This window comes from Homo sapiens, chromosome 7 (genome assembly GCF_000001405.40).
Source record: "Homo sapiens chromosome 7, GRCh38.p14 Primary Assembly".
In the NCBI taxonomy this organism is placed as follows: Eukaryota; Metazoa; Chordata; class Mammalia; order Primates; family Hominidae; genus Homo; species Homo sapiens.
Genome location: NC_000007.14, coordinates 35244673 through 35268598, shown reverse-complemented (window position 1 = coordinate 35268598; position 23926 = coordinate 35244673). Strand labels below are relative to the sequence as shown.

At 45.5% G+C, this 23926-nt stretch overlaps 1 protein-coding gene across 3 annotated transcripts in view, besides 7 other annotated features; it reads left to right on the top strand.

Moving 5' to 3' along the window:
- Positions 8881-9691: an enhancer, noted in NCBI's record as "H3K4me1 hESC enhancer chr7:35298519-35299329 (GRCh37/hg19 assembly coordinates)". NCBI's record gives its function as "activates a minimal SCP1, AML or CMV promoter by ChIP-STARR-seq in naive H9 embryonic stem cells {active_cell/tissue: H9 hESC(naive)}" and the evidence as "EXISTENCE:reporter gene assay evidence [ECO:0000049][PMID:30033119]".
- Positions 9692-10503: an enhancer, noted in NCBI's record as "H3K4me1 hESC enhancer chr7:35297707-35298518 (GRCh37/hg19 assembly coordinates)". NCBI's record gives its function as "activates a minimal SCP1, AML or CMV promoter by ChIP-STARR-seq in naive H9 embryonic stem cells {active_cell/tissue: H9 hESC(naive)}" and the evidence as "EXISTENCE:reporter gene assay evidence [ECO:0000049][PMID:30033119]".
- Positions 10504-11315: an enhancer, noted in NCBI's record as "H3K4me1 hESC enhancer chr7:35296895-35297706 (GRCh37/hg19 assembly coordinates)". NCBI's record gives its function as "activates a minimal SCP1, AML or CMV promoter by ChIP-STARR-seq in primed H9 embryonic stem cells {active_cell/tissue: H9 hESC(primed)}" and the evidence as "EXISTENCE:reporter gene assay evidence [ECO:0000049][PMID:30033119]".
- Positions 11316-12127: an enhancer, noted in NCBI's record as "OCT4-NANOG-H3K4me1 hESC enhancer chr7:35296083-35296894 (GRCh37/hg19 assembly coordinates)". NCBI's record gives its function as "activates a minimal SCP1, AML or CMV promoter by ChIP-STARR-seq in primed H9 embryonic stem cells {active_cell/tissue: H9 hESC(primed)}" and the evidence as "EXISTENCE:reporter gene assay evidence [ECO:0000049][PMID:30033119]".
- Positions 14499-23926, top strand: part of TBX20 (T-box transcription factor 20) — a 51671-nt gene continuing 42243 nt past the window's right edge. For 2 of the 3 annotated variants that reach the window (NM_001077653.2, NM_001166220.1), the window contains exons 1-4: positions 14499-15105; positions 18396-18648; positions 19758-19922; positions 23542-23650. In NM_001077653.2, the coding sequence (NP_001071121.1) occupies positions 14979-15105; positions 18396-18648; positions 19758-19922; positions 23542-23650 (654 nt within the window). In that variant the 5' untranslated portion in view covers positions 14499-14978. Of the gene's footprint in view, positions 15106-18395; positions 18649-19757; positions 19923-21434; positions 22799-23541; positions 23651-23926 lie in introns of those variants that run through there. The other variant, XM_017012456.2, reaches the window with a different exon arrangement.
- Positions 15002-15578: an enhancer, noted in NCBI's record as "H3K27ac-H3K4me1 hESC enhancer chr7:35292632-35293208 (GRCh37/hg19 assembly coordinates)". NCBI's record gives its function as "activates a minimal SCP1, AML or CMV promoter by ChIP-STARR-seq in primed H9 embryonic stem cells {active_cell/tissue: H9 hESC(primed)}" and the evidence as "EXISTENCE:reporter gene assay evidence [ECO:0000049][PMID:30033119]".
- Positions 18117-18682: an enhancer, noted in NCBI's record as "H3K4me1 hESC enhancer chr7:35289529-35290094 (GRCh37/hg19 assembly coordinates)". NCBI's record gives its function as "activates a minimal SCP1, AML or CMV promoter by ChIP-STARR-seq in naive H9 embryonic stem cells {active_cell/tissue: H9 hESC(naive)}" and the evidence as "EXISTENCE:reporter gene assay evidence [ECO:0000049][PMID:30033119]".
- Positions 18683-19250: an enhancer, noted in NCBI's record as "H3K4me1 hESC enhancer chr7:35288961-35289528 (GRCh37/hg19 assembly coordinates)". NCBI's record gives its function as "activates a minimal SCP1, AML or CMV promoter by ChIP-STARR-seq in naive H9 embryonic stem cells {active_cell/tissue: H9 hESC(naive)}" and the evidence as "EXISTENCE:reporter gene assay evidence [ECO:0000049][PMID:30033119]".

The following is a 23926-nucleotide window of genomic DNA, read 5'->3' as shown; positions in this document are numbered from 1 at the left end:
GATGCTATAAGCAGCATTCATTCTCTGGAGATTAACCAAAAAATAAATAATCCTTCAGCCATAATAATTAGATGATTAATGACTTTTTAAAATATGCTGTTAATTCTTTGTCAAATAAAAGTTACCTGAATCCCATCAGCACCAAGGTTAACTGTCTGGCTAATAATACCCAGTCCTCCATGAATTTGTCATTGAATCTCTGTTAAAGCATCTAGATCAGCCGGGCGTGGTGGCTCACGCCTGTAATCCCAGCACTTTGGGAGGCCAAGACAGGTGGATCATAAGGTCAGAAGTTTGAGACCAGCCTGACCAACATGGTGAAACCCTGTCTCTACTAAAAAAATACAAAAATTAGCCGGGCGTGCTGGCGCAAGCCTGTAATCCCAGCTACGCAGGAGACTGAGGCAGGAGAATCCCTTGAACCCGGGAGGTGGAGGTTGCAGTGAGCCGAGATCGTGCCACTGCACTCCAGCCTGGGTGACAGAGCAAAACTCCATCTCAAAAACAAACAACAAACAACAACAACAACAAAAACAAAATCTAGATCAATGGATCAATGGTTCTCAAAAGAATCAGAGGAGAACTTATTTCACATGCAGATTCTCATCCCCCTGCAAAAATGATTCTAATTCAAGTGGGGGAATGATCAGAGAGGAGATCCTCTGAGGCATTTTACAACAGGATATTAGAAGAGTAAATGAAAAATCCTCCAAATGTGGTCCATGGACCAATAACTCAACATCACCTGAGAACTTGTTGAAATGCAGAATCTCTGGACTGACCCAGACTTAGTCTACATTTTAACAAGATCCCCAGGTGCTTTGCATGTAAATTACAGTTTAAAAGAACCCTTCTAGAGTCAGAGTCAGCAAACATTTTCTGTAAAAGGCCAACTAGTAAATATTTAAATATTTCAGGCTTTGTAGGCCATGTGGTCTCTGTCACAGCTACTCAGCTTTGCCACTGTGTTGCCAAGGCAGGCAATACAACAGGAGTCTGCAAAGCATGGCCCATGCAGGCCAAGTCTGGCCACTCACCTGTTTTTGTGCAGGTTACTAGCCAAGAAATGTTGTTGCATTTTTAAATGGCTGAAAAAACATCAAAAGAAGACTAATACCTTGTAATATTTGAATGTTATATGAAATTTACATTTCTATGTGACAAATTAAATTTTATCAGAACACAGCTATATTCATTTGTTTACATATTGTCTATGGCTGCTTTTATGTTACAAAGACAGAGGCAGACAATAGTGACAGAAATCATATGGCTTGCAAAACCTAAATATTTACTATCCGGCCCTTTAAAGAAAAGGTTTGCCAATCCCTCCCATAAAATTTTATTTTTGGACACTGATGTTTGAATTTTGTATAATTATTATATGTCACAAAATATTAGTCTTCTTTGGATTCTTTTCCTAACCATTAGAGAATGTAAAAATCATTTTTAGCTCTTGAGCGGTACAGAAACAGGCAACATCTGAAGCAACCCATGTTCTGCAAAGGTTCATTTGAGAAATACAATCCAGGTTTCCTGAAAAGAAAAAAAAATATTTTTATGCAAAGTTTCTCAATCTTGGATATGGTTGTCACATTCCAGAGCCTCAGATTCTTCTAAAACGAGTTTGACATTAGATTATCTCTTATTTATTTATTTATTGAGATGGAGTCTCGTTGAGTCACCCAAGCTGGAGTACAGTGGCATGGTCTCAGCTCACTGCAGCCTCTGCCTCCCAGGTTCAAGCGATTGTCCTGCCTCAGCCTCCTGAGTAGCTGGGATTACATGCACGCACCACCACACCTTGCTAATTTTTGTATTTTTAGTAGAGATGGGGTTTCACCATGTTGGCCAGGCTGGTCTCAAACTCCAGGCCTCAGGTGATCCACCCACCTGGGCCTCCCACAGTGCTGGTATTACAGGTGTGAGCCACTGTGCACCCCCCACCCCGCCCCCCCCCCCCACCCTTACTACATTATCTCTGAGATCCCTTTTCGGCACAGACTTTTTCTCTTCCTACCACTTCCCCCACCTTGCTTTAATTCTCAGCCTCCTAATTTCTCTCCTGCTAGCAAAGGGCCATTTAAATTGTTCCGGAAAGAAATAAGGTTTGGAGGACAGAATCTGCTGTGACAAATCCTCACTGACTGCCATTTTTGGTCATTGTGGGGATTTGCATTGTGTCTGTTACTCCAGTCTTTTTTAAATTATGCTGGTGAATAAAGATATTCCTTCCTGCCTTTCCCACCTCCCTTGCACATGCTGGTGAACCACTATCGATGGTCTCCCCAAGGCCACTGTCCCTTCTCTTGTCAACAGTGATCTCATTTCTCCTAAATGAATTCAGCCCTTGTCTGGTCTCAGTCCTGTGGTTTTGGAGGACTTCCCCTGCCCCAGATTCTAGGTGCAGGCACTGATTTGATTTGATCCCAAATCAGGGTCAATAAGATGTAAAGATATATTTCTTGGACTCCTTTCTCTGCATGTGCTTCTGTGAGAGAGAAACTATTTTCTAATGGGTACAAACAAGGAGAAATATGGCCATGAGACCTGCTGAAGCCATCTTGTGACCCCAGAGAGAAGTCTGACTAAAAATAGCACCAACTCCAAGATGCCAGAGATGAGAAATAGAGAGGATTTCCTTTGATCCTTGGATCACATTTCACCTGAAGCTATTTTTAAACTAAGTGGATGGGCCAACAAATTTATTGTGTTATTCAAACCAGATTGAAAATAATTTCTCGCTATTCACAGTATAGAATCCTAATTGATGTACACATTATCTCAACTAACTCCTCTTCCTTAAAAGTTTTGTTTCAAATACTTACATTTTATCTGATCATATGTAAGTGTTGCCCCATTTTCTCCCCTCCAAAAGAGTGAATTCCAGGTGGAGTTCTGTCAAACTTAAAATACAAAGATGACTGTGGTGCAACCCAGATGAGAAGAAGCTCCACCAGAAGTTGAATCCTTGAAGGCAAGCAAGGACAAGACTCCAAATTTTTTTCCCTGCTCAAGGCCAAATAAAACCATGGTGCGAAATTCAGTTTCAGTTCTCAGAGCAGTTTTTCCATCTTCACGATCATCACTAAAAAGCCCAATATGTGTGAGCCACCACACAGGAGAGGTATAGTTGCACAAATTAGGAAACCAGAGGTAGAAAACGAGAGAGCTTTCTGCTTTTCCCAAGGAGTGTTCATGTAGAAGGGCTTATGTCAAGCATTAATTTGAAGTCAGGATTCAAAGACCTGACCAACCGTGTGGCTCTGGACTTGTTACTTCCTGACCTAGGCTTCAATTTGCAATTTCTTCATCCATAAGATGAGAGGTGGGGTGGATTTTACTGACCCTTCTGGTCTTTTCAAACATTCTGAAATGTCTTGGTCCTTGCTCTGTAGCAAGACAAGCTAAGGAGAGTCACCTCAACGGTGCCCTCTATGTAGAGTGTATATGGGGGCAGGGAGTGGGGTGTTGTTGGTAGCTTTTCTGCAGTCATGCATGCTCCTGCAGTATCCATTCTTGAGAGAAACAACAGACTTATCAGAACCAGAAGCCACCTTTTTGGGTTAAGGGTGTGATAAGAAATGATGAAAGTTACAAATTGCAATGTGGTATTTTCTGTGTCATCCCAAAAGCTTCTCAGCAGAGATGGGGAGTTCCTGTTTCTTTTTCTCTAGTCAAGTAAAAAACTAAATGTGGCCAATAGAAAGAATGTAGTGCCATAAGGAAGACTCAGAGTTCAGCAGCCTCTTTTTTTTTTTTTTTTTTTTTTGAGATGGAGTCTTGCTCTGTCACCTAGGCTGGAGTGCAGTGGCACAATCTCGGCTCACTGCAGCCCCCGCCTCCTGGGTTCAAGCAATTCTCCTGCCTCAGCCTCCTGAGTAGCTGGGGCTACAGGTGCTCACTACCATGCCCGGCTAATTTTTGTGTATTTTTAGTAGAGGCGGGGTTTCACCATATCGGTCAGGCTGGTCTTGAACCCCTGACCTCAGACGATCCGCCCACCTTAGCCTCCCAAAGTGCTGGGATTACAGGTGTGAGCCACCACGCCCGGCCAGAGTTCAGCAGCCTCTTAGGGGTGCTTGGTTAAAATGTAAATTCCCCCCACTCTTCACTTCAACTCCTAGGGCCCACAGTCCAGGGTCTCTGGGTGGAGCCAAGAAATACACACAATTCTTAGGTGCATTGGATTCAGATAGACCTTGAATCATGCATTGAAAAATCACTGTCCTAAGAAATGTATTTCTTCAGAATTTTAAGAATAAACAATAGTCATTTCTAATAAATTCTGTTCTAAATACTTACAAAAGTGTGGCTCATTGGATCATCCTTGCAAAGCAGACAGTATTTATTATAAAATAAAATTTATGAAATTTATTTGAAAATGAAACGATGTATATAAAAACCCCTCCTACAGGCTTTGACACACATTAGGTCTCACCAGATGTTAGTTATAGGATATATTTAACAGTTATACAACATAAGAAGTGACCCAAAGGTAAATGACAAGAAGTCATGCTGATTAGCAAATGTACTCAGACCCCTACCAGGTATGGTATCCTCCACCCCTAGGTGCCTCGTTAGATGCAGAGGAATGTTCTGAGGTTTTCTGTCTGTTTTCCTCCCAAGTAGTTGAGTTGCCATCAGTGTCAAAGTATTTTCAGGGTGCAGAAGAGTAGGGGCTAATAGAGCTGGGGGGTAGGAACATAAGAACCTTGGGAGAAAGGCAGACATTAGTTTCAGTCTGTGCTCCACCACATATTTGCTGTGTAATTTACAGTAAGTTACATGACATCTCTGTGCTTAATTTCTTTATCCGTAAAATGAGGAGCATCAGATGACATAATCCAAGTAAGTTGCTTAGGCTACTTCCTGACACATACAAGCTCTTATTATTATAAGTCACTTGCTTTACATGTCAGAAGGAGAGAGTCAATCCAAAAACAGGGCTAGGCTTTCAGGGACACTGGAGAGCTGGAGCCAGTCCTGGCTCAAGCTGAGCATGATAAGAATCCCCAGGCAGTTCATAGGGTTGGGCCCTGTGCCCAGCACATCCCACTTAACGACCATTCACAAACATTCACTACTTAGAAGGTCACTTTAATAATTAGCCCTGCTTTGCTAATTACACTTTACTGATTAGAAGCTATGCTGACAATACTGGAGTTGCTGTGAGTGCTTCTTTCTTTTTTTCCAGACATCTGAAAACAATAGTGACTGATTTTGATGCTGAGCTTTTATCTTTAAGTGGGGCATCAATAGGGCATTGCGCTGGAAATGCAAAGAAAAAAATGGGGACCAGAAGATGCTGTTATGAATCGCACCCCCTTTCCTCTAAGCCTAAACCTGGATGATCTCCCCTTCCTGACATAAATATCCTTTAGGATTAGGAGACAAGTTGCCTGCTTGTAGATCTTTTAAAAGTCTGATGTTGGCCTGGAGCAGTGGCTCATGCCTGTAATCCCAGCACTTTGGGAGGCTGAGGTGGGTGGATCACCTGAGGTCATGAGTTGGAGACCACCTGGCCAACTAGGTGAAACACCGTCTGTATCAAAAGTACGAGAAATTAGGCGGGCGTGGTGGTGTGCGCCTGTAATCCCAGCTACAGGAGAATAACTTGAACCCGGGAGGCAGAGGTGGTAGTGAGCCGACATTGTGCCACTGCACTCCAGCCTGGGCGACAAGGTGAGACACCATCTAAAAAAAAAAAAAAATCTGATGTTTGTGGTTTGCATAAACGTTTTGCTAATAACACACATGGAGAGCCCAATCTGTGCTCAGCATTCTACTGTTCTACTGGCACCGCTGTGAATCGTGCATGACGGTCCAATGAAGTTCTAGTGCTCATCCTTTGAAATGCCTTGCCCAAAGTCACATAGGTAGTGGATGCTGGGGGTGAAACTTGAACCCGGTCAGTTGCGGGGAAAACCAGCAAATCCTTAACCACTGGACCTCTTTGAAACATTTGACCGTGGTCTTTCTCTTCCCTTCCTTTTTAATGAAAAAGGGGGACTTAAAAAAAAAAGCAGATACAATTCTAGTGCGTTGGTAGTAATAACACCATTTAGCGCGCCAGGTCCCTGCATTACACTTCAGATGCCTCATCTTATTTAATGTCTACAACCTCGAGTTATGTATCTATCTGGACCAATTTTACAGATGAGGAAACCGAGATTCAGACAAGTTCAGTGATTTGCTCCAATGGCACAGAAGTTGGTCAGGGTCAGATGGGAAGCTAGAAAATAAAATTCTAATAACTCGTCAGCCTGAGAGTGGCCGGGTAGAGAAGGCCGGAGCCACCAGGCCTGCCTTTCTCATAGCTCCCCAGAAAAGCTGCAGCTGGCCGGGACCGGCGGTGGCCTCAGGACCCAGCCCCCAGCCTGCCCTGTGCTAATGGGGGTAAAGCTCGGCCGGCGCCATCCTGCAAGCCCTGTCTGATAATAGCTCTGATTAAATGGCCGGGCAGCCAAAGGAAGGCCCCCGCCGCCGCCAGCGACACCGTCACCGCGCCGACCAAGCAGGGACCTGCAGCGGCGGGGCTTCTAACTCGGCGTCTGTGTCCCGACCCCACTGCAGCGGCTGGAGCCCAGAGCACTGTCCTGGGTGAGAGGCTGGAGCGCCGCGGGCAGAGCAAAGGTTTTGGTTCTGCCTCCGCCACAGTCAACCGCTTGCAGGGACCCTGATAGCGTTGGCTTGGGAGGGGTCTTTAGAAGTCAGAATCCACTTCTGGATCCTGGCGTACCGCGCAGTAGTCTCCTGGGCTCTGGGCCGCCTTGGTCTCTCCAAGGTAGAGGTCTGGGACCGACGACAGCTGCTAAGGATGGAGTGGGTAAGCGGGATAGAGAACCCACGGATCCCCGACCCCAGTGGCGAGAGCGCGCCTTGCAAGCCTTCGGGCTCGGGGTGTCGGCGTCTCTCCATTGCAGAGGAAAGTGCTTCCCGCCATCGCATCGACCTAACTGGAGCAGCCTGCATCGAGCGCTTGGCCAGCACCTGGCATCATAGAAGACGCGCTCCACATCCCGCCACCGAGCAATCCGCACAGCCTTTCGGAGAGCTCCGGGCCATGGTCACACCCTCCCTCTTCACAACTAGGGAAACTAAGGCTCCGAGCAGCCCAGATAGCCTAGGGTCACACGGCCCGCAGAGGACACAGCTGGCTTCGAACTCTGACAGTCTGCCTACAAAATTTGGGGTAACGCGGGAGGCCATGGGTGCTCCGGTAAGGGGCGCACTGACCTGAGCGCAGGCCAAGTGAAAGCACAGACCTGCACTGAGCGATGCGCGACCCCCCTCACCACCTTCTCCCCCGCCCCGCGGCAGTCTCTGTTGCACCAGAGGAACCTGCAGAATACTAGGTAATTATCTTCAGAAAAGAAAAAATAACATTACAAAGGCCGCCCGGGCCCGTTGTCCACGTGCGGCAGAAAGACCTTTACTTGGCCCGCCTTCTTCTTCCCCTTTGCTCGCCTGGAGAGTGAAGGGCTGGACTTGCGGGTCACAGCTGCCTGTGTTCTTCTAAAGCCCAGAGTCCCTATGGGCCGACAACAAAGAAATGCACATGTTTCTGGGCTCTGGGGCTGCTAATATTATTTACAAACTCACCAAGAAAATCCAGCCCTCTCCTCCGAACAGCTTCTTCTAGAACAGAGATCTGACCAAGTTAGTGCTAGAAACCGAGAATAAGATTAATTGAGGTTAAGATAGAAATGGAGGTGAAGATTGAGAAGTGAACAGGGTTGGGTCACATAGACCAGGGTCGCTTCCCGCTCCACCCTGATTTGAGCAAGTGAGTTCCTTAGCCTTCTGAGCTTCATTTTCTGCAATTTAAAAATGTACACAATAATGGTACCCGACTTATATTATTATCAGCATCATCATATATTTCATGGAAAGCCTCTAGTGCAGTGCCTGGCACATGCTAAGCGTGGCTCAATGCTCTCTGTAATGCACTGAAAAGCTGGCATCAGGGCTTGAAATGTACGCAGACACCCTCAAAGTACATGAGTTAAAGAAGGAAAATCCAGCCCTGAGGCCTGTTGTGGGCCTCCAGCAGTTCTAGCCAGGGCATTCACAGAAAACAGCCCCACTGTCTGTGCATCTGCATAAAGCCGCTCTTCTACTTAGTGGTACACGGTTTTCTTCCCCCACTGCAGAGCTTCTGAGACCAACCTACAGACCCCAGAGAAGGCTGCTTCTCAAACTCCTTGAGCGCAGGGTTGACACTGGGGCTCTTGAACACACCTCCCTGATCAGATCGAATTTATATCATCCCTAAATCGAAAAGGGAGCTTTCCCCAGTTCCAGGGCTGGCAGGCAGTAGTGTCTGTGAAGTCCTCTGCCCTTACACGGAGACATTGTTTCATTTAATTTTCACAACAAACTCTTTGATATAAGGACATATGACTATCAGCAAACATATTTGACAGATGTAAAAACAGAGGCAGCATAGCCTGGTGCTAGACCCCAACATCTTCCTCCACAACTTTTATTCAAGTTGTTTATTTCCATTAAGCCATTACACCCCTACAGTCTAAGAGTTCTTTAGCAAAAATATTGAGGGAAATGTAATGTATGATTGCTATACGGACACTTTTTAAAATACATCTCCCAGCTAGGCTTTGAACACTTGAGGGGCATGGATTATATGCAAATTGTCCAACTCTGTCCCCACTCCCAACAAGCCAGTGCCTGATGAATGAATACCAACAAATGTGAATTTTTCCTTAAGTCTTCATCACAATTTGTACTTCTTGTATTTGTTTATATGTTTATTATCAGTGTTTCCTACCAGACTGTGAGTTGCACAATGCAGGAATTTTAGGGTCCAGATCACTACTCTATTCTACTCCCAGAGCCTAGCACAGTATCCAGCTCAGAGTAGGTGCTGTGTAATGCTGGATGACTGAACAAATCCTCTACATTCGTTATCTTTTATTACACGCATACATCTTTGTTTCCTTGCATACGACATGTTTCAAGTCGTCTGGAGCACGTCGACATTTGGGAATAGGCATCCAAGTGCTTACAGTATGAATTTTGCCACTGTTGGGAGTAAGATGAGGTTCAATCAACTGCTTCTGGAATGACTTACTGTGGGAGCTAGCAGCAGAGACCTTGCGGGGCTGCTTCCTGCCTGGGTCTTCCCCACCTTGATCTCTCAAAACTCCTTACAAAAACAGCTGACTCTGGCTCCCGGAAAGCGAAGGTGAGAGGTGAGTGCAGGATGTGTGGGGATGCTCTAGCAGTCACCAGAGGGGACAGTGCACAGTTGCTGGTGGAAGGCTGGATCATTTTCCCAAGTGAAGCGATTCCAAAGAGAAACTCTCACTTAGTTTGAGTTTGTTTTTAAACACCGGAGGAACTGCGCTCAGGAAGAGCCCTCGGGCAGCCTGTTTGGCTGCAGCGTGCGCCATCCACGCAGGTCCCACGCGTCCGCCCGGGCAGGCCAGGGCACCCAGCCAACAAGACCTTCATCTCGAAGCAGGAAACGTGTCCCTTGTCCGCTTTTCTCCCCCTCTTGGGGTTCCAGGTTAATAGTCCCGTGCGCGATGCAACGGTAGGAACAACGCTTTCGAAGCCACAGATTTGCATTGGAAGCCCGGTTCTACTGCTTATGATCTGTGCAATTTCGATGAAATTCTTAACTTTCCTGACAGGCCCGGGACCGGGGTGAGAACCCACAATTTAGATGTCAACAAACTCAGTTGTCAAGAAAAATATATTTTAATGCAGTAATTCTAAAAGTCAAAATTCATACAAAAATCATGATATACAAAATAAATAGTATACGTCAGCAGCCGGGCCCTTGGGAAGGCGGCGATTGCCCAAGAGGAAGGTTGCAGAAGGAAGGTGGGAGCACGCGTGGAGGAGGAGAAGGAGGGGAAGGAGGAGAAAGGAGGGTGCAGGAGTGTGAGGAGAGTAGGCCTGGCTTCCAAGCCCACAGGATCAGAAGAGATTTTTCTTTTCTGTTTTCTTTTGCAGTTCTTGATCACGCTGCGAGTTTTGCACACAATGTTAGCACGCTGATTCTTCCACTGCCGGGAGGAGGCCCGGGGCTCTGAGGGCCGGTCCCTGCGGTAGTGAGCTCGTGGGGGATGAACGGGGAGCGAGTGGCCGCGGGGAGGAGCGAGAGGGTCGCAGCCCCGAGGGCTGTCCTGTGAGCAGGCTGCGGGGCCTGGCGCGCGGGGACCCGGGGAAGACGCTACAAGGCCTGGAGGCGCCGCGCCTTGGGACCCGGAGGAGGCCCAGGGCGGACACGTGGGGTGGCCTGGGGTCCCCCGCCCACGTAGCGCGGCTGCTGAAACTACATGTGCCCTGGGCTGCCCGCCGCCCTGAGCCTGAGGCCAGGCGGGTCAACGTCGCAGCACCGCGGGCTTCTGCCAGAAGGACATTTCCCCTCACCTCCTGACCACATCGGCCTTGGAGATGGGCGCGAAGCGCCTTACGCCCACAAGACATCCCTTTATCGGCTCTATAGCTGGGCGAGACTGAGGTCTCGGACGGAACGCGCGCACTCACACCCCATCCAGGAACTTCAGTGACACTCAGGGGTGCTGGCTCTTTGCTTTGCCCTTCGAGCAAGACTTGGGTAAGGGCTCCTCGAGCTTTCTGGTGCGGAGGCTTCCTGGGTCGGCCCGAGGCCTGTAGGTTCCCGGCCACTTCTTGCAGCTTGGCTGCGAGGGAGCGCTTCTCCGGGACCACTTTGGCTCGATAAACTAAAACCCGCGGGGTGTTCGTCGGAAGGATCCTGGGAGGCAAGGCTCAGACCCGCCCTCCCGACTCGCGGTGAAATCCAAGGCCGCGCCGCGCGCTCCCCACGGGGCACGGAGCCGCGCGCTGCTCTCGGCGCGCCCCGGGAACGCGCCGCAGCGGCCTTGGAGGGGCTGCAGTTCCTCTTCTCACTGTTCTTGGGAAGTCTTTCCTTTTCCGTAAACCTAATTTAGGAATCCAAAGGCACCGAAGCCCGTTAATGTCGCTTTTAAAGTGTCTACCAGAAAGAGCTGGAGGGAGGCTGTGGACAGGAATCTCCGGCCATGTTCGGGAGTAGACAGATGCCCTTGTGCTGAGAAGCGGGTCTCCCTTCTCCCATTCTCTCCTGCCGCCAACGGTGGCTGCCAGGCTGTGCCCTCCGCTTGGCACCCTGCCCCGCCGTCTCGGCTCTGCTCTCGACCACGGCGCCTGCGGACGGTTGGTTAGACCTGCCGGGACCGGTCCCTGCAGCTCCCAGCTAAGGGAGCATTCGTTAGCATTCGTTAAGCGAGGGACCATTGTCCAAAAGCCGGAAACCGATTACTTCCTGGACAGTTTTGGGGGTCGACTGTCTTCTGAGTTCCGGGAGCTACAAATGAGAATTTGAAAGAGTGGTGTATATAAGGAGACATCTTCCAGTCTTCCATATAATCAAATTCCATATAAACAAACTCAGATGTATAACAAAATTTTACATTCTTAGGCGCCAAAGTTTAAACGGGATGTAAATAACAATCCAATACCCTCCTGTGGCCCCAATGCTCTTTGTACATTCCAAAACTATCTACATTATATATGAGCACCCGAGAGACATGTTTCTCCAATCGCGAATTTGCAGTTCAAAATTAAATATGATTAAAATTCTGTATTATGCTTTACTTATGTTGGGTTTATTGTGAGTGTTAGGCTTTTTATACACATTAGGGCATTAATCCAAAGAGCTATCTTCCAGGTAGGAATGAACTATTGGCCCTATTCTAACGCAGATGAAGAAACTGAAGCTTTGAGAGGTTTAGTAACCTACACAAAGTCTCCGGGCTAATGCGTGTGTTAAAGTTAACATTAAGACTTCAGCAGCTTCCGCTGCCAGCAGTCAGCCTGAGAAGGGCCTAGAGAGATGTGTTAACGTGCTTGTTTTGTTCCAACCCCCGGGTGGTTTTACCTGTTAACCTGCGCTATCAGTGGCGTTTTGAAGGGACCTCAGAACTCCCCACTCTCCGCTTTGGGAAGGCTTTGAATCATCCTTCGACAGCACCTCTCTGCCCAGAACCGGTTCCCCGTTTTTATGGCATCATATTGATTTGCAAAGGCAATAAATCTAGGAGGAGGGACGGTGTGCCCCCGATAATAATGTTGCAGCATATGTTTTACTGCCGAGGTTTCAACACCAACAAGATGCATAGCCTAGAGATCCCCAAACGGGTCACCCGGATTTGTTTAAAGTGGCCTTTTCAATACCTCTCGTTTGCCGCCTGCCTCCTAACGATCACTCATCTTTTCTTGTATAGTATTTTACCTGTAGTAGGATGCGCAGTCGGGGTTTCCTGCACACAAGAGACACAGAGCTGGGCTAAGGCCGCGTAGGCACTTGGAAAGGAGGAGGAAACAGATTTGTGGCAATTCAGTTTTTCCCTTGCTTCATCAAATTTTCTGAAAATGTTCCTCTCATGATATTATTCATATTCCAGTCAAAATCATTGAGGTAATTAAGAAAAGACACAGTTGTTTTCCTCTGTGTAGAAAAACAATCAAAAGGGTTTTTTTATGAAGTATAATTTTGCGGCAAGTTTTTGAAAACTAAATTCAGCTAACAAGGTTTGCCACACCCTGTTGAAGCATATATCAAGGTCTAGACTAACCATAACATTCCCCGACCTTCCAAAATCCCCACTTCTTGAGGGAAATCTTTCTTTCTGGACAAATCCTAAGCATTTGATATAGGAAAGGAATCAGTGTGTGCCTTCCACTCAATACAAAGAAATGTCACTTACATTGAGAAGGTGTGTCTGGGGAGAGACAGGTTGGGGCGGGGGACTTTAATAACCAAAAAAGGGGTCTGGATTGGGTCTGGGTTGTCCAAAACCAGCAAAAAATTTAAGAATAGAAACGGATCCTCAGATGCATCCTGCGGTTTAATCTGAAAGCCCTCTGCTTGCCAGCCGTCGTTAACTCTACTCTGGCTCTTCAGCTAACAGCCCAGCCACAGCTGCAGGGCCAGGGGCTGATGAGGGTCGGGGCCCGGAGTGTGAGTCCTGCCCTTCCGTCTGCTTCTAGCCGCTGAGGTGGACTGGGGGGAGATGCGCGCTCTGCCACGTCGGGCCCTGTTTTTCTCTCTCAAACGCACATGGAGACCGGCTAGAAGACAGCGTAAATTCCTTCCAGCACCAAAGTCTATGGTTTTACGAATTTCCTCAAACATTTATAAATCGACACTTCGAACTTCGATAGTGATATGAGAATGCATTTTTTAGTCACCTTCATCCAGCACCTTGTTAAAAACTATTGACACACGATGACCAAGACAGGCTGAAATCACGACTCTTCCAGATGTCATCATTTTGTTCACACAAACGTTTTCGACAGCTATTTTAACTTGCCGTTTTCCCTCACAAATTTATTTCAGGAGTAGGGGGTGGTGCAGTGAAAAGTTGGAGTTTTAAAAATTATTATTATTATTTTAATTTTAAGACCCACGAAGAGGCTTCTAATAGCCAGACCGACTGGCTGGAAAAGAGAACAAATATTTACATATACAGCTTGAGTGTGTATGTCAGCCTGAGTTTACACGGCTCCAAGCGAAGCGGATTACCCTGCGAATTCGGAGAATTTGAGTTATTCAGGCTGAGCAGGGCTAACAGGACGCCCTCCAACAAGGCCGTGGGAAGTCCTCGTCACAGCCGCCTTTGTAAAACCAGAGGGGTCTGTGTCCGCTTAGTCCGGGCGCTACCATAAGGTTCGCACTCTCCCACTACGCGTCGCGTGGTTACCGTAGAGCTCCGCGCCCTGACCTTCGCCTTCTCTTCGGCAGCCGTCCCATTTTCCAGGGTCCCTCTAGGGAAAATAGGAGCCCCAGGCTAGAGACGCACTGGTGAGGAGCAGAAGCCACGGTTCTGAGAGCAGCATCCTTTGCCAAATGCCCGCAGCTCTCGCTAAGCTTATCTTTTTCAGGGCTGCATTTGCTCAGCCCCACTGTCAAAGAGATCAAATTTGGGACCATCGAATGAGAGTCCCAGCCCTGGGATCTGCCCCGAGTATGGACCTGGCCAGTTGGCGCCGGCTCAGAGGCGCCGGATTCTACTGAGCGCTTCCCTACTTTCTTTTGGAACTTTGAGCGCAGGTAAGAAAAAGAATGGAAAAAGCGAGAACTCCCGAGGCTTCCACTGGTCTGGTCATAGCTTCCCCAACTGGGCCATGCCCGGATCTCGGGCGTTAGGCCGCGGTGATGTGTCCTCTCCCGACAGCGCGCACCGCCCTCCCGCCCGGGGCTGTGAGACCAGGTGGGGATGTCCATGGCTGCTGCGTCAGCCTAGTGGTGGCACCCTTTTCCCTGAACCTGTGCTGGGGTACCGAACAGCCGGGGCGACAGGCCACGCGGGCGCCGCACCCTGGGCGCGCCCTCCGCGCCCGGCCCGCGGCCCCGCCCCCGGCGGCGGAATCAGGAAGCGGTGACGTGAGACGGCGCTGACTGGCTGCGGGCCTCCGGGATCGCCGCCGCCAGCAAATTAAGGCGCAGGGCAGCGAGCGCCAGGGCTCACTGTCCGTAGTTCCGCGCCGCGCTCCCCACGCCAGCGTCCTAGCAGCCGCGCTCGGCTGGTGGCCACCTCAGCCTGGGACATCCCGGCTGTCCCCAGCCCCAGAGGGAGGAAGGACGCGGAGGGGATGCTCCAGGACCCCAGGACTTTGTGCAGTTGATGCTCGTTTCCGCCTTCGGGCTGTGCAGACTGTCGTCCTGCCGAGCGCCCCGGGGCGTGCGCACCCGCCGTAGTGCTCGGTGGGCCCTCTCCTCTCCGGCTGCCTTCGAAGTCTCTGCGGCTCTGGGGCTTTGCGGTGGGGAATAGAGGCCAGTGTGCAGCTCTGGAGTCGTTGGAGCTGACACTTCTGGAGTCCCTGGCCCCGCTGTGACTGCTCTCGGAAACTTTGAGCTGTGTTTCGGGTCTTTGTCTCCCTTGGGGAATCTGGACGGCAGTTCGGACGACCCCGTCCCTGGCCAGGACCGCGTGCTGGGGACCATGGAGTTCACGGCGTCCCCCAAGCCCCAACTCTCCTCTCGGGCCAACGCCTTCTCCATTGCCGCGCTCATGTCGAGCGGCGGCTCTAAGGAGAAGGAGGCGACGGAGAACACAATCAAACCCCTGGGTAAGTTGGGCTACCCGGCTGTCCGCCGAGGACTGGGGATGCTGCGCATCCGTCTGTGCCCCTGGCTGCAGGCGGCTCGCAGCAACGTCTGATGCTCAAGCCATGAGCCATACATCGCGGGTGGGAGATCTTTTTCTTTTGGGTCCAAGTTTTCTTTGGAGGCTTCAGTCTGTTGAATGCTGTGAATGTGCATCTTATATCTGGGCCCGTCGGTCTCCTAAGTTGTCTAGAATCCATATATCAGATCAGACATATGGTGTGTGTGTATGTTTGTTGGGTTAAAAACATTCATGGAAAAATAATAATAAAACCCCTTTTAAGGCTCAACAGGATTTACTGTGCATGTAACACCTGCTTGTGCGTTTGAAACGGAGACGCTAAAGGACTTCATAAGAAACCAGTTTAATTTTGGTTTTCCTCTGACTTGAATAGACAAAACAGAGCAAGCTCTTTGAAACCACTGTAAAGCAGAATAAGCCAGTTCTCCCTACACGAACCATTTTATTCACTGAAGCTCTAGACTTATCACCAAGACATCATTTTATAACTGTCGTCATTTTCAGTTGAGGTTGGCAAAAACACTAACCAGTAACCATTTCTCAAATTCCTCTACTTTTAGTTATGTTGTTTGTTTAACAACCTTTACCATTTATAGAAGACACTAGGCTAGGAGTAAAGGGAGAACAGGGATTATGTTCTTCTTAACACTAGTGAATTACATGGAAAAGAACCACCCCAAGATAAATATTTAAGAATCTCTTTACAACTGAGGGAAAAAGAAGTGTTCTCATCATTGCCTCGTGGATCCCCAGGAAATAATTGTTACACAGCCTGATCGTCTGGTATCACTACAATGTGAAAATCAGATAGCAAACTTAAGTTAATTTTTCTTTTTTAACCCTCCCCAATTTTTCCTTTCTTCTCTCTGTCCTTCCCACACTTAACATATCACATCCAAAATAATGATAACATGAAAAAAAGGAAGTGTTAGAGATCAAAAATAAGGTGTTTGGGCTTAAAGATGAGAGAAGTAAAATTCCTGTAGCTACTTGAAACCAAGGAAAAAGAAACTAGTAGATCTGTAGAAAACAGAATGTCAAAAAAAAAAAAAAATCTGTCCTCTAAGTTTTCACCCCCTTCCCCTGGTTCTTCCCACCCACCTCCCATCTAAATCTAAACCTGCCAAAGAATGGAGACAATCAATCAAACAAAATCCAATTGTTTAGAAAAATATAACTAACAATTTCAAAGTTATATTGTGCGACTTCTCAACATTATACATTGCTGTTTAGGGGCCCCTGAATTCTTTGTAAACATCTCAGCTTGTTACATAGCAGGAAAAGAGGATTCCCGACAGAAGTGTAGACAGCAAATTGGGAAACATGCCAGCCCCAGCTGCACTGTCATTTCAACATTGCTTCCTTCTCTCTTTATTTTTCTGAGAAAAGCCACCTTATATCGAAAATTCTAAATCTTGAACTTTAAAGCCATGCCCAGCTCACAACTCCAACCCTACCCCCATGCCCACACACACATATAGGCACTAGTATAAAATGCATGTCCCTCTCCTGGCTTTTGAGATGGGCTCTGAAAGAACTAGCAGGCGTTCTTGTCGCTTACACTGGCCAGTTCAACAGAGGTGACTGCAAGCCAAGGACTCTATCAAGAGAAACACCTAAAAGTTCTGTTAAGAGAGAATGTGGGACTTTTGTTGAAGCAAACTATAGAGTGGGGAGGGGGATTCCAGTGTGTCCCAGGATTGCCCTTTTAAACATACAAAGTCTATTTAAAGGAACAGCTTCAGTCTGCTGAAGCATTTCTATTTCATTTTCTTCCTCTCCTACTTCCCATCCTGATGCATTGGTCAGTCTGGGGCTTAGGGAGTTTGCCTCTTTCAGTTGTCAGAAAAAAAAGTCATTAACACTACTTCTTAATTCCCTCCGAAGACATTATGTGAATGTGTTTCTGAAAATATTAGTAGAAAATAAGATTTTGTTATGGTATGGTTTCCTTTCGTTAATCTGAAAAAAATCAGGATGGCATTTAATTTGATTATTCTTAAGTTAAAACATTTTCATGGGTTGGATTATCATTGCATGAGAAGTAAAAGTAAAACCACTCTGTTTCCTGTTTTCTTCATGTACGGATGTGTAGGAAATAAAACACCTTATGATCTGTGCGTGTCCCATATGCCCACACACATCATGTACATGTACATACATACATTTAGAACTGGCTTTGATTTCTTGAGGGCACTTAAGAGATCAACTTCACATTGCAAATTCAAGTAGTTTCTTTTTTAAGGGATGGAAGATAATTGGGACAATTACAGAAGTCTCCCTGTATTCCATCAAAGTGACTGGTGTAGTCCCAGGCCCTTATCAGCTGTGGGGGAGAATGTTTGGTTCATAGGCAGCAGTATTCCAACCTGGTGGTGGATGGCAGAGCATTCTTCTCACTTTAATACACTGCTGGTCTGGATTTGAGGTTGTTGTCCTCACTTCTAGGACCTTTCTGGGAGAAAGAAAAATTTTATACCTCACCCCTCAAGTAATTGTTCTAAGCCTCTTCTGAAAATGGCCCACAGAACCTGCTCCTGTGATTTAGCAAGCTGTATGCTAGCATCTTTCATAAGATCTCAGGCTGGGAAGAATATTATAAAAATGTTCTAACTCTCATCATAAAGCCTAGAAAACTGAAAGTCAGGCACAGAGGTGAAGTAACTGATTTTTTGTAAACCACATTCCCCATTTTTCTTTTACCCTCCTATCCTCCTTTCCTTTTCTCTTATGGAGAGAGGGCTCCAGGAAGGAAGGAAAGTTCCTCTCCAGGTGAGGAAGGTGCTGATCTCTTCACTCCCTTTGTCTCCGTTGAGAAAAAGTTCTCCTGGTTGTCAAAGAGGCAGGACTGGCATCAGTTCCATGAGCTACGAAGTCTAGAATTTGGGAGGGGTGACAATAGGAATATTTGCTTTTCATCCCTCATGATCATCACCCTTCCCTTCTTCCACTCTTACATTTTTATTTCCCAAAGTGGGCTGCAGTACTGGTGGTGAAAAGCAGTCATTCTAGAACTCACTAGCTTGGTCAGGAAACACTGGGCATGCTACTCCGTGGGAATCCCAGGTAATTTTATACAGTGATGATGGGTCATCCCTACAGCCTGCCTGGAGTTTCTGAGCTTAACTTTTCCTGAGTCAAATCCAAGTGACCATTTGGTTATGCTGTTCTTTCCAGATCTTTCCTTGTTGAACAGTGTCAGCTGTCATTCACAATTCTCTTTACCTCCAGAGCAATTTGTGGAGAAGTCGTCCTGTGCCCAGCCCCTGGGTGAGCTGACCAGCCTGGATGCTCATGGGGAGTTTGGTGGAGGCAGTGGCAGCAGCCCGTCCTCCTCCTCTCTGTGCACTGAGCCACTGATCCCCACCACCCCCATCATCCCCAGTGAGGAAATGGCCAAAATTGCCTGCAGCCTGGAGACCAAGGAGCTTTGGGACAAATTCCATGAGCTGGGCACCGAGATGATCATCACCAAGTCGGGCAGGTAGTTGGGACTTGGGGGTTGGGGGTTGGGGGTGGAGAGTCAGGACACTCCCTGGGTAGTTGAGGGTGCTTCCAGGAACTAGATGAGAGCTGGCTGGTCATGGAGCGGAGAGACAGCTTGGCTCCAGGGCAGCTGCTTTCCACCAGCTTGCATTAGGAGCTACAGGATGTCTAGTCATTTGCGTTCTCAGGATTTGGTCATGGGAAGCCCCACCCTGGCTTTGTTGAGAAGGGCACAGGGACCAGGGAGACACACTAACCCCGAAGGGTGTGGTCTGCTTTCCCTGGAGCTGGAGAAGGTTTGGCGGGTGGAGGGTCGGGATCTGGAAGGAGGAGGAATTTGTGCCTGGGTGCCTGGTGAGCTGCTGGGTGCTTCTAGGTAGGTGAGTAGCTTCCCTTTTATCAGCCTCAATTTGCAAAAGCTGCCAGCTCCCATTAAAAACTAAAATTAAAACCTGGGCGGAAGAATGAAATTTGAAACGATAAAATTCCCTGTAGGAAGGAGCACTGCTCGGGGCCTCTTGGCGCCAGAGCCGGGCGGGCTTTGGCCAGGCAGGAAGCTGCAGGGCTGCAGGGAGGTTGGGATGGGGCAGAGGCTGGCAAAACTTGGTGGCTCTAGCTCTTGGGACTACAGAAAATACCTGCAGGGCATCTGAGAAATCCTTCCCAGAAACCTCTGCTTTTGGCTTTTATTTTGCAAGAGCAGAGTTTTCTGGCTGGGATGCGGGTGAGTTGTGTGACTGGGTCAGCTCCAGGGACTTCGGGTCCTGGGACACTTAATGTGCTTGATCGTTAAAATGCATGGGATTTTCCCTAATCACAGACCTTCTGGAGTTAACACATACCCCCACCCCCACCCCCACCTTTTCACCTAGCAATTAACACCTGCTTAAAGGTGACACTTAAAATTATCTAGGCTTGGAAGAAAACCCTGTCTCTGTATTCACTTCTCTGAGGCTTTAAACAAAACAAAAGAGGGGTTTGTGGACCGGATAGAGAGGGGAGTCAGACCCTTTCCCTCCTTCCCTCCCTCCCTTCCTCTCTTCCTAATTCAGGTCAGTTTATTAGGCAGCATAAACAGGGCCCATTCTCTCTCTCTCTCTCTGTCAGGAGGATGTTTCCAACCATCCGGGTGTCCTTTTCGGGGGTGGATCCTGAGGCCAAGTACATAGTCCTGATGGACATCGTCCCTGTGGACAACAAGAGGTACCGCTACGCCTACCACCGGTCCTCCTGGCTGGTGGCTGGCAAGGCCGACCCGCCGTTGCCAGCCAGGTTCGTGCCTCCAGATTTTTCACTGAGAAAACTGTTAGTGCATCTGTCAGAATGTTTCTGGCTTGTGTGAATTTTAAGCAAGTGTATTTTTAAAGCAGCGGGCTCTGGCAAGAGAGCATTCCAAGCCTGGACACTCCAGGATTGACTACACAAAACATGGGCTAGGCTCTGAGAAAGGTAGTTTGTGCATAGAGAAAACACTGTCTTTAAGTTTATGTTTCGTTAGGCAGTAATTCATTTCAAAGTTTTTCTTAAATTTCAATTTGAGTATTCATTAGAAATGTGGACCCATTTTGTATAAATATAAATATAGACATCCTCTCTAATTGCTGCTTAAAACCAGAGTGAATAAACCTACTGATGAAATGGTTGTCCTAAAATCCTTTTTAGAAGAGTGTATTTTAGTAAAATCGTTGCTTACAGTAAGTATTTGTTAATCATATGGTTATAACTGCATATAATAAACAACATTTAGGTAAAATTCAGTTGTTTTTGACCAATAAAGGTTCAGAGATTTTTAAGTAAAAAAATAAAGCCAAGTCTTATTTTCTCCCTTTATAATTTTAGTGGATGAATGTAATTCAATAACTGGTTCTTTTACATGAAACATTCCTCAGTTAACATATTAGGGATCATGCATATTTACTCTTGTGAAATTCATTGCTAATAATACAGTTTTTCCAGGAGTACCATCCTTAAAAAAGCACATGCAAACCTTTACTGTTATTATTTTAACTAAATGAGAGTTCTAACAGGAAAACATATACTTGCTTATATGAAGAATAATAGATGAAGTTACAGGAATGTAACTGCCTACTTTAATACAAAACAAAACATATTAGCTGACTTTATGTTTGGGATTTTAAAACCCAGCCTCATAGCTTTTCTTTAATGACTAATTTTTGTTGTTTATGTTTAATGACTAATTTTTGTTGTTTAATGACTAATTTTTTGTGATTGATTGAAAGTTTGTATCAGAGCTAAGAACTTATTTAAATGTACAGATTTGGGAACTGTTAAGTTACGGCTGGTACTTTGTGTCTAGTCTGGAGTCATAGTCAAGGCAGAGAATCAACAGACAATTACACATATGGTTCAGATAGAATATTCAGCTTAATTAGTAGTTTATTATATTATTGAGTTTATCGTATGCTAAGTGCACTAGAAAAGAGATTAAAAGCAATCTCTCAGAGTTTTCCATTCTCGGAAGAGACCAGAAAGGGCGTCTTCCCAGCCCTTTCAAATCAGTATATTAAATAACAGTCAAGACTAAGAAAATCTAAAAAACAATTGCTATTAGTTTTTTTTTAGTTGAGCAAGATTCACCAGTTTATAATAGATATTAAAATTAATAAAATTAGTGTTCTCTTCTATTTACTGTTAAATAGTTTACTATTATTCTTTAGCTACCTTCCAAACTTTTCAATACCGTTTTAAACCTGAGAGAGTATTTTGGCAGATTCCTAACCATTTTCTACAAGCAAACCCTCTTTTTTTTTTTTTTTTTTTTTGCCCTCCAGTCTTTCCTCTAAGAAGTTAATCACTCTTATTAAACATACATTTTCTTCCTATCTGAAGGTATGGGGAGCTGATGCAGGCCAGCAGGACTTTGGAAATATGACATGCCTTGTTTATGTTACTAATCTGTTCTGGTTGGAGAAAAAAAGTGTGTACCAATACACTATCTTAACTGAAGCATGTTTAAGCTATTGCTGGAATTTTAAGTCTCTGGGGGACTTGAGAGGAGGGGCTTCCTGTATATTTTTTCATTAATCCTAGTTCAGCTTTTTTAGATTGATATTAAATAAAAATGTTTAGCTTATTATGGGATAAAAAATAGATAATTTAGCAACTATTCTTTATTATTATTAAAATAAATAGTTTGCTACTTATCTATCTCCATAAGAGAAAAACGAAGAACTTGGGAGATGATAATTTTTATACTGATGGCAAAAATTTCCCATGGTTTTAGGACTTTGAAGCATTTTAGTTCAGGCTGAAGTTCATTGGTCAGTCATTCCTAATCGGAAGAAATAATGCTTGACAGTATCACTTGATTGTAATAATAAGCAAGATATTACTTATGATCTAAAATAATGTTACCTTTTCATATAGGACATCTCCTTTTCTTTAAAGTACATAATATTTAATTACATTAATATTTTATTAATAGCCATTACATGTGGTGAATGTGATCCTTAGAGAGGGAACATTTCATCAACTTTAGGACTTTAAATAATTTTGGACTTTTTTAGAGGGAGGAATGTGGTTCTGATCAGTAAAACAATTGCACCTATAAAGCTACAGTCTTGGAAGGATGGTACTTGAAAAGTGGTTGTGTTATCAAAGAATAATTGAAAGGCAACTGTGAGCAATCCTCCTAAAAACAGTGGAATTAACAGGCAGACAAATGCCTGAAGCCTTTACAGTTCCTCTGTAGGTCTGGTAAGAGTCTTTGGTGCTGTCAACCTTTTTTGTGCATTGCTCCTGGTGGGCTTTGTAAGTTTCAGCATTTGTACAGAATTCTTCTATTCGTAGTCCTCTGTGTGACAAACCATGGAACAGATTTCTTGTTCTTTACATGAATAATGCAAGAAAAATTTTATGACTTCTTATCCCTTGCTTTTGCCCTAGTAAAAATATTTATGTTTAATTGTAGTTATAAGGATCCTATATAAAATTTAGGTGTAAATAACCTTTTACGTGGATAAAGGAATTTGTCCTATTAAATCAAGGATTTTGCTTCCCCTTCATTAGTTCTGTAGTCTCTCTCTGACTTCAGAAAGACTTAAGTCAAGAAGATACCAGGATGGGGACTTACAAAGAGCTGCATTTAAGGCGTTGTCACAGGTAGAAAAAGTGACCTGCATTTAACTGTGAGTGCGTAAAAGATGTGAGAGCTTTTTTTTGGCTTACACTGTTTACAGATAAATAAATTGAATAATGTGAAGTGTGTCTAGCTTGTTTTAACTCTCATTTAGTGAGCACATAAACAGATAATGATGAAAGCAGTAGTGTTTAATGTAACAGGAAGAACAGAATCCTAGCTGATCGGTGGACTACTGGGAGTTCTCCATGTCCCTATATTAAAATTGCTCCATCTTATATTTACAAAGAACACAAACTTTAAAACTTTAAGTTTAAATAAATGGATTCTCTAAAATTATTTTCTCTTTTAAATTATTTATGTTTTCACTGTTATTTAAGAGATGTTTATAATAGGAACTCATGCGATTAGTGTAAGCTAGTTTTTCTTTTGAAAGCACCTTCAACAAGAAGATTTTGCGTTTGATCGAAGCAGACCAGTAGTTGACTAGATAGATGAAAACACACACACACACACACACACACACACACCCCTTTAAACAATGCCTTGCTCAGCTTTTAATAGAAAATTTGTTAAGTATTATCTCATTTAGATAATTGGTACATGAAGAAATAATTAGACATTTTTCAGTTGTTTTGACATTGCAATAGTAATAAATTTGAGGTATATAGGGCAATAAAATTTCCCACTTATATATGGTTTATGTGTTCCCTTAGAATTAGAACATTTTATAACCTACAGAGACAGACTTTTTAAAGAAGTCTCAATAAAGTTTTCTCCTAATTTTCTTAGGCTCTATGTGCATCCAGATTCTCCTTTTACCGGTGAGCAACTACTCAAACAGATGGTGTCTTTTGAAAAGGTGAAACTCACCAACAATGAACTGGATCAACATGGCCATGTAAGTACCATGCCTTGGACTGTGCAGGTTCCCTGAGGTAGAATGGACAGGTCGCACAAAACTGTCTCTCTCTGAGTCCCTTCCTGCCTTCCCTATCCCCTTCCCACCTTCTATCTCTGAGTCATTTTATGGGAACATTTATGTGTTCTTCAGGGGACCTTGACTGATTTTGTAATAGGTCATTTACGGGAATGCTGTGTGCCATTTCTATGCAAGAAGGTCAGGGATCTTCTGTTCCATGGAATTCCTAAGGCTTCTGAAATTGCTGTACCACCC